Source organism: Homo sapiens, chromosome 14 (assembly GCF_000001405.40).
Source record: "Homo sapiens chromosome 14, GRCh38.p14 Primary Assembly".
Classification (NCBI taxonomy): Eukaryota; Metazoa; Chordata; class Mammalia; order Primates; family Hominidae; genus Homo; species Homo sapiens.
The window spans coordinates 88356801-88366710 of record NC_000014.9 but is presented as its reverse complement, the minus strand read 5'-3'; the positions used below and the strand labels follow the sequence as shown (position 1 = coordinate 88366710).

Genomic DNA, 9910 nt, shown 5'->3' with positions numbered 1-9910 from the left:
GACTGGATAAAGAAAATGTACATATACACAATGCAGTGCTATTCAGTCATAAAAAAGAATGAGATTTTGTTATTTGCAACAACATGGATAGAACTGGACATCATTATATTAACTGAAATACACCAGGCACCGAAAGACAAACTTCATATATTTTTACTTATTTATGATCTAAAAATCAAAACAATTGAACTCATGGAGACAGAGAGTATAAGGATGGTTACCAGAGACTGGGAAGAGTAACAGGGTTAGAAGGGGAAGTGGGGATGGTTAATGAGTACAAAAAATAGTTAGAAAGAATGAATAAGGCCCCATATTTGCTAGCACAAAAGGGTGACTATAGTAAAAAATAATTTAATTGTACATTTTAAAATAATTATGTGAAAGGAAAGTAAATCTCAGTACCCCAAAATCACTAAGCCAAAGGGAAGACTCAAGCTGGAAACTGCATCAGGCAAACCTGCCTCCCAATTTATTCCTAAATAAGACAGCTACAAAGATAAAAAAGCTAACACACCTGCCTCACAATTTGTCCACTGGGAAATTCCTTGTGGGGCCCAAGATCTTTACCCTAAAATAGCTCTGTTGAATTTTATCCCAACAATGTAAATAATAGCTTATCTTCCCAGGTACAGGACAAAGGACAGAACTCTAAGTCATCCCTCTGCTCCTCTGAGACATGTGAATATCTGATTGCTTCCTCTGATGTAAAAATGCAGATCACTGAGCTAGAGAAGGCATAAGGGATTATTCTTCTATCCCCCTCACATGTACATTTTGTAATTGACGACAGGCTGATCAAAGATTCAGAAGAATGCAACCACTTGTCTCATCTATCTACACCTTTTAAAAATTTCTTCCTCTTTCCCCTTTAAAATATCAAAACCCTCAAAATCATCTTTGGAGAAAAGCACAGATCTGTTTCCCAGGTGCAGCTTCCCAGGCCCACGTCCTTAACCTTGGCAAAATAAACTTTCTAAATTGATTGAGACCTGCCTCAGATACTTTTTGTTTTACAATGAAAAGAGTATAATTGGATTATTTGTAACATAAAGGAAAAGTGCTTGAGCAGATGTATATCCCATTCACTCTTAAGTGATTATTATCCATTGCTTGCCTGTATCAAAATATCTCATGCAACTCATAAATACATGTACCTATCATGTACCCACAAAAATTAAAAATTAAAAAAAAACCCAAGCAGACAAAAAAGCTCTGCTCCAAGGTAGAGCTTCTCCAATTAGATAATATATGTGTACATATACATACATATATATATGGTAAACCAAAAGAAAATTCTAAGTCCCCCCAACTGACTGAATGGATCCTCCTCTTAGCCAAGGGGACCCAAAGGAATCTGAAAAACCAGTTCAGGCCATCACAGGAAGGGGAAGGTAGGACATATTCATTATACCCGCCTCCCTTTGAAGTTCAGGCACAACTGACCAGCATTAATATGAAAACAGGAATTCTAAGACTGACAGAACAGGCTCTGTAGCAATAAGCCAGCAAGTTCCAAACAGACTCTAGTATAGCATCACGTGACAGATAGTAGGCCCTGAAGAAAGCGAAAGTATTTTACCCCAAAATATATTTATTTGATATATTTTGAGATGGTCCTGCAAAGCTGTCTCTTGTGAGGGAAATTTGCATTCTGTAGAGAATCTCCTTCCTTTACTAGGTCTTTCTGAATAGTCTGACCGACCTTTAAAGTTCCATAGGAAACATTCACATCTATTGTCTCTGAATTCTCCTACTTGGAGGCTTCATCTACATGACAAAAACCTTGGTTTCCACAACCCACCCCTCCCCAGTTACCTTCACTCAAGCTGATTTCAACTCTTCAGGCAGAGCTTACCCCTTTCAACCAATTGCCAATCAGGAAAATTTTAAATCCACCTATGACTTAGAAGCCTAACCCCCACCTTCAAGATGTCCCACCTTTCCTGGCTACACCAATATATACCTTACATGTATTGATTTATGTCTTTACCTGTAACTTCTGTCTCCCTAAAATGCATAAAATCAAGCTATAACCCAGCCACCTTGGGCACATGTCCTTAGGACCTCCTGAGGCTGTGTCATAGGTCATGACCCTTAACCTTGGCAAAATAAATCTCTAAATTGATTGAGACTTGTCTTAGATACTTTTTCCTTTCTAAAATATAAATACTGAGTTCTTTTTTGAGCATAGGCAAAAAGTACTCTATCATCTAAAAATCCTTAATGAATAAAAAATGTCATTATTACCAAACTATACCTTGCTTTTTCTTAATCCTTAATGAATGAAAAATGTCATTATTACCAATCTATACCTTGACTTTTCTTAATTTTATTGTTAAAAGCAGGAGAGAACAGAGGTGACCACAATTCTCTATAAAGCAGTATGTGCCTGATGGTATTAGACCGAAGAGAGTTGTGATAGGATATACTGACCCCAAGTGCCTATTTTGAGTTCTCTTAAATAATAGAACTCTGATATCTGAACACAAATATAATCTTGTCCACAGAAAATGATCATTCTCAGAACTATAACACCGCACAGTTTTCACTGCACTTTTTAATATGTGTAATTCCACACCTTATTTTCATTTTTCCTACAGTTAAAAAGTGCACAAAATTGTGACTCTGTAGGTAGCTTCACTGACTTCTTTGTACTAACAGAAGATTCACTCATATTGTGACAATTTGGCTAAGGCTGCTGGTCAGGTCCACTAATAATGGCCACGGTCCTCCATCTTTCCATTTCTCCCCAGCTGCGCTCTTTAAATCTTTTCGTCCAATTAACAGAACAAGTCTCTGTGAACAGAACTTAATCATTCAGTGGTTACTAGGTAACCTGTCCCCATAGCTTAAGAAGAGCATTCCATCTATTCTTCCACTGTCAATCAATCTCCACAACAGTACATTTGGGAGGATGCTCACCCTAAAGCTTTGATAATCTCCACCGAATGCATTCTCTGTTTACAAGTGGCTTCACCATGAAAAACAAAGCAAAACAAAAAGCTTAACCAATCTGTTCATCTATCCTGATAATATCTTTTCCACTTAAAAAAATAGAATCTGAAGTTTTAACAGTTAAAGAATTTTTGAAAAGCTCTTATAAGTGCATCTACTATTCACAAACTGCCACGCACAAATCAATTTTTAAAAGCCATGATTTATGTAAGCTACCAATGAAAACCATTCTTTATTGATACTTTGCCTAGTCTTTCTAAGGGATTTCAGTCTCCACTCCAGTCACACTTTAGTTCTTTGTCTTGTTAGATGTCTGCCTGCAATATACAGAAACACTCTAAATTATTAGATTGAATGACATGAAATTGCTGTTTTATAAATAAAAAATTGTCAATTAGACAATATCACTTGGTTCTACCTAGTAGTTTGAAGTATTTGAAGAACACTATTAGAAACTTAGATTTAATTTAGACTAAATTAATTATTTCTTTAGAATATTTGAGTAAGTAATCTTAGAAAATGGAGGTGGGAGGGTGGTTCTTGACATCCTTAGACATGTTCATTCTCTGACTTAATTGAATTAAATGTGAGATTTCTCTTATCCTCTTTGAAGTCTTCCATTTCCTTGTCTGCAAACAACTTCTTAGTGTTCATTATGTTTTTAAACAAAATCTAAATTATCCAACAGTGTGAAAATGTGTTATGAAAACAGCCTATCATTCTGTAACGTTAAGTATTCACTGAAGTTTATACCTATAGGCAACCTGAGATTATGATAACATTGAGGTCACAATGAACACAGGAGCTATTAATATTTCCCACAGTGAAAGCACAGTCAAGATAGAAAGTTTGGTGGTGATCTGGGTACAGAAAGACTTCCTCTGTGTTATTTATAAGATGCAGAGTGAATGTTTCTGTACAATATCTGAACAAGGTAGAAGAAGTGATGTTCCGACACTCTTTAATTCAGTTTGTACACAAGGCTGGAGGTAAGCAAATATTTTCCCTTGTTTGTCAGAAAATTTAGGGGCTAGGAGGATGCTGGTGATTGCTAAGCAAAAGTTCTAATTTTGCAGAAAAAGCTATGGAGCCCAGAAAAGATAAGTAATTAGCCCACACAATTGGTCTTTATGACTCTTGATTTCGTGCTCATTCCACTAAATCAGGAAATAGGCAGGAAGACAATTATTTCAGTGACTTGTCCTTAGGCGTGTTCACTCTCTTATGCATGTGCTACCTAAAATAATAGAAAAATGATTTTCATATGCAATTGGGGATGTATAAAATGGAAAAGATCAATGAGAATTTGCTTCAGTCTTTGGTCTTAGGCAAACCTGTACCTAAGCTGTCCTAGATAAGTAAGAATATGTATATTTTGAAGTTATACATTTTTTTTGTAAAAGAGCAACATGTATTATTCTGAACACGGTTGAGTCCAATTTTCTTCTACTCTGGAGATGATTACTTTATCGTAATCCAGGGGGACTGTCATTTGTATTGATTTAGAAACATTTTACTGGAGAATTATCCCTCAGAAAGCTTCCCTTTTTCAAGGATAGCATAAAGAATAACACTAATGATGTTTTGTAAAGTAAATACTGCCACATGTTATTTCAATAAATATTAAGGGGCACCTACTACGTGCAAGGCTACTTGGGTCACGTTTCCCCCTGGGATTCTACGGAACAACAGTACTTTCTCCAGTTCATTTACATCCCCTTCAGTGATGCTCTGGGATTTACCTGCTTTGAATAGAATCACTGGAAGCTGGGGGTCTATAGGGATATTGTAAAGTGTCAGGAAGCACAGCAGCCATTGTTAAGTGTGTGTTGGAGTCAACCTGCTTTGAATTCTAGCTGTGCTTTTCCCCAGCAGTGTGGCCTTTACTAAGGGCCTCATTTCTTTATCTGCAAAATAGCATAATAATAGTGTACAATTCATGTGATTGTTAAGAGAATGACAGGAGGTAATACATTTAAATAACTTACCACTACTTTTGGCTGTCATAGTTTGGGTTCCTCTGGAACAAGAATTCAAGTACAAGTAGTTTATTTAGGAGATGGTCCAAATAAACACTAGAAGGGGGACATGGAAGTGAGAGAGAGAAGAGAAGGAAGCCAAAAAAGGAATGCTATCAAGCAAGTTACCACTGTGGGTAACTGGAACTCAATCCCACCAGGAAGGAGCTGGGAAACAGTACAGAACTCAGCAGTTATCCTACCCCAGGGGTGGGGAAGCTAGGGCATTGATCCACCATCTAACAACTGTACTTGTCTAAGGGCTGTAAGGGCCTTAGGTGGCTAATTCCCTGGCCTTCTGACTTGCCCTATTGGCATGTAAGTAAGTTTCCATGTTCAGAGAAAGCTGTAAGCAGTAAGGTGCACACACTGGCTGTTGAAGTTGGGATTGGCATCCAATAAAGTGGTAAGGGCTGAGGAGATGTGGGCTGAGCATCAGCGGTGTCTGCTGCCCAGGCAACAGGGACCATTAAACACACATTTACTCTTTGTAATTTAAAATATCATTAAGTGACCTTTTAGGTTATTTTCATATTGGCTATGCCTGGTGCAGAGAAGGCATTTGTTGTGAACACTTGTTTTTGACTGCCTAGCACCTTTTCCCTTGTCTTCCTGTGGGAAATTCATCCTAGGTCTTGATCTTCCCTCCTTCCCAGTCCCTTCTTTTCTTCTAGCTCTCTATTATCACAGGAAATGGGAATGGGATCCAGGAGAACACTCCCAGGCAAGCTGGCTTCAGGCATTCATTCCAGGTGGGTGTGGGGCCCTGGTCAGCACACCATCCTATCGGCAACCTCCCTGGGACATAGCTGCTAGAGATTCTAGTATTGACTTTTTCTGCTGCATCTGCTAAGCTGGAAGAGAGAGACAAAGAGACTCAGAACACCTCCTGAAGAGACTATTTTATCATCCAAATACAACTCTGGTTGAAGTGAGCTCTGCCTCTGGCCCTACCAGTTATATAAGCTGTATTAGTTTGTTCTCACGCTGCTAATAAAGACATACCTGAGACTGAGCAATTTATAAAGGGAAGGGGTTTAATTGACTTACAGTTCAGCATGGCTGGGGAGGCCTCAGGAAAGTTACAATTACAGATGAAGAGGAAGCAAACACGTCCTTCTTCACATGGAGACAGGAAGGAGAAGAATTAGAGAAGTGCAGAGTGAAGGGGGGAAAGGCCTATTACAAAACCATCAGATCTCACGAGATCTCACTATCATGAGAACAGCACAAAGGAACTGCCCTGGTCAAGTCAGTCACCTCCCACGAGGTCCCTTCCCCAACACGTGGGGATTACAATTTGGGTTACAATTCAAGATGAGATTTGGGTGGGGACACAGAGCCAGACCATATCATAAGCCAACAAATTCTTTTCTGTTGCTTGCAATGAAAGAATCGTACCTGTCAGAGCATTTAATATGTACCCATAGCACTTCATGCCCTCAGATTCTAAGACTTATCTTTTAGCACATCACCTTTCAGTGTAAGTTCCCTGGTAGTTATAAAAGCTGCTTAGCAAGATGTTGGAGGCAGGTATGTACTGCTGGCATCATTATATAGCAGAACATGCTTCCTCTCAGGTGAGGTTTTTTAATTTCATACATTATTGCTCAGTCACAGCATTAAAAAACTTTGAATTACCCCATAAGAAAGTCATTCACTTTGCAATTCTTTCAACCCTAATTACATCAAGGAGAAAGTCTCTGTTTGTTACTAGTGTGTCTTTAGCACCTCTCACCCTTGCTAATCTCCCTTTCTAACAAAGATCAAAGCTTGGGCTCAGGCCACAGTATTTAGATAAGATTTGAGAGTATCATCTTTGTTGTGCTCATTTATGGCAATTTCTACAGTAGTAATTGGGCTTGGTTTTCAAGATTTCAGTTACCCATGGTCGACCATGCTTCAACAATATTAAGTGGAAAATTCTGGAAATAAACACTTTCTAAGTTATAAATTGTGTGCTATTCTGAATAGCATGATGAAACCTTGCACTGTCCTGCTTTGTCCCATGTGGGATGTGAATCCTCCCTTTGTCCAGTGTCTCCACGCTGTCTCCACTTCCCACTAATGAGTCACTTAGTAGCCCTCTCAATGATCATCTCACATCATCACAAGAAGAGTGAGTACAGTACAATGAGATGTTTACAGAGAGAGAGAGAACCTAAATTCATATAACTTTTGTTACTGTATATTGTTAGGGTTGTCCTATTTTATTGTTATTGTTGTTAATCTATTCCTGTGTCTAATGTATAAATTAAGCTTCATCGTAGGTAGTACGTATGGGAAAAGACAGTGTGTGTTTAGGGTTTCGTACTATCCATGTTTCCAGGCATCCATTGGGGATCTTGGAATGCATTTTTCATGGCTAAGAAGGGAATACTGTACTGTTCTTCCAATTATAATTGAGCCAGTTTCTTTTAAAAATATGGTTAATTTTTAAAGTGAGTAAATTCAAGGGAAAACTATAAAGTAAATAATAGTACAGGTGGTATAACAATATGGCAAAAGCCATGTAGGTGGTACTTAGAAGTCTTAGCTTTGGGAATCACTTGCTTAGTATAGTGGTATCCCTGTTTCCAGATGGAGGAAAGAGGGAGTAGACAAGGATCTGTTCAAATTGGCATAGGCTGCTTCACTGGTGTGATTTTGACTAAAGGACAAATTTGGTTCATTGAGGAAGGAGTCTCAATTCATTTGCGGGTAAAAACAAAGAACACTTATTTTTCCCAACCACTATTTTCAACGCTGCTCTAACACAGTCCCCTCCTCACTGGGTGACAGGGGCTCTTTATAACACTTCAGCCTGATTCTTTAGCTTTTTGTCATTTTCAGTAATTAAAAGTCACTTTCAGTTTTTAAGACTCAGCTCTGTTTATTTAAACTTTAATTTTTTTTCAGATCCAAAGCTCTTCTCCCCCACTCCTCCCAGCATTGGCTAGACCAGTGGGCACCAGGGCTGGCATTTGAGGGGGCATGATCTGCTTTCATATAACCCCTTCTTCCTCCCTCCATGCACCTGCTTCTCTGATGCTGAGCTGGAGAAGGAAAAGGAACAAGAAAGACCCAGCTCCTTATTTGACTTGTCTTTACGTAGCTCTCATGGGTGGTTGACACCGTTGTTGTCTGAGGGTTCAATGTAGACAAGCGATGGCTCTAGCATGCCCCTCTGATGGCAGCCTCCCCAAGCAGCTTCCCCAGATGTTGGTAATATGTTGTGAGATTTGACTCCAAATGAAGACCCTCGGTCCGCATATTCCCCCACTGCTTCAGTGTGCTTGCCTCCTTGACCCCTGCTACAGCAATCCCCAGCTAGAGACTGTAGGCCACAGACTCACAGACTTACAAGTACCTGTGGGATCCTTTTCTGTACTTCTTGGGATCTGGAACTATGGAAGGGATGCAAAGAAAGGAAGTGGCCTCTCTCTGTCTTACCACCCTCCATCATTCCTTGTCTTCTTAATTCATTCCCCTCCACCTGGATCACAGGGGCAGGTGAGCAGATCCACTGACTAATGTAGACATTAAACCAGAGAGTGGAATCACATTTCCCCTTTTTGTTGGCACCTACAAAAGAATGGTTCTCTTGGGACCTGCCTCCCTTGGTTTTCACACTGCTATAAAGAAATACCTGATACCGGGTAATTTATTTTAAAAAAGAGATTTAATTGACTCACAATTCTTCGTGGCTGGGGAGGCCTCGGGAAACTTGCAATCATGGCGGAAGGGGAAGCAGGCATGTCTCACATAGCAGCAGGCGAGAGAGGGAAGTAAGAGCAAAGGGGAAGAGCCCCTTATAAAACCATCAGATCTCATGAGAAGTAACTCACTATCATGAGAACAACATGGGGGAAATGTCACCCATAATCCAATCACCTCCCTCCCTCCATATGTGGGGATTACAGGTCCCTCCCTCAGCACATGGGGATAACAGCTCGAGATGAGATTTGGGTGGGGACACAGAACCAAACTACATCAGAATCTGAGTCCCTGATACTATGGAAGCTCATACCAACCTAGAAGGGCTACTATCTTCAGACTTTCAGAAGAGAGAACTAAATGTTCCATTACTTACAGTTATACATAATCCTAGCCAATCACAGTCAGACTTTTTGTAGTGTTCAAACTAGACTATGAAAATGGAGTCTCCTAGAAACTACTTTTATTGACAGCTTGGAATAGTTCTTAAATGTACATTACAGAATGCCTACTTGGATGGGACTGAAAATATAGCAGTATTTCTACTCTTATATGTGAATATTTTTATAGTTTGGAGAAATTGGAGGACTGACTTAAAATGAGCCAAACCCATATTCAGATTTTATTAGCGGTTGCCTTTTCCCCATTATATTCTCTGCTCTTGAGATTATCCAGAATAATTGTTCTAATAATGCTAAAGGTTTGGCAATTGCATGGACACATTACACAGTAAAGAATTATGAGATCAAAATCCTTGGCTTTTACAGTATTAAGTGGTTGTATGAGTTTGAATAGATACATCTCTGAGTCTCAGTTTCCTAACCTTTAAAATAAAAGAGTTAAATTGCAATGAATGTGGCTTCCAGTCCTTTATTTCTATGAAAAGCCTGGTATTTTTAAAAGACAGCTTTTTCCTACTGTTCTGACAAAGGCCAAATCTCTAAAACTTTGGAGTTATTTTAGGACCTGTGCTATCACAAGCTGCTCTATGAAAGATGGCAGATTTAGTGTTAGTGATTTCACTGATATTTTGTTCTTAGAAAATTATTCATGGCCTTAAATCATGTTCAAACACTCAAATTATTAACACTATCATTTATAAAAAGTGAAACGTTTCAGGGTGAGGAAGCAAATTATTCTGTCTGGTACCTCCTTCACTGATTGGAATGGGGCATCTTGTACTGAATGTATAAGTAGCTTCTTCTGTACTCTTTCATTAAACGTGATGTTATTGTTTGTTT

General features: G+C 39.0%; 2 annotated features.

Annotated features, from left to right (window-relative positions):
- Positions 1283-2090: an enhancer, noted in NCBI's record as "OCT4-NANOG hESC enhancer chr14:88830965-88831772 (GRCh37/hg19 assembly coordinates)". NCBI's record gives its function as "activates a minimal SCP1, AML or CMV promoter by ChIP-STARR-seq in primed H9 embryonic stem cells {active_cell/tissue: H9 hESC(primed)}" and the evidence as "EXISTENCE:reporter gene assay evidence [ECO:0000049][PMID:30033119]".
- Positions 1652-1946: a silencer, noted in NCBI's record as "tiled region #789; K562 Repressive non-DNase unmatched - State 24:Quies". NCBI's record gives its function as "represses a minimal TATA promoter and a strong SV40 promoter by Sharpr-MPRA in K562 cells {active_cell/tissue: K562}" and the evidence as "EXISTENCE:reporter gene assay evidence [ECO:0000049][PMID:27701403]".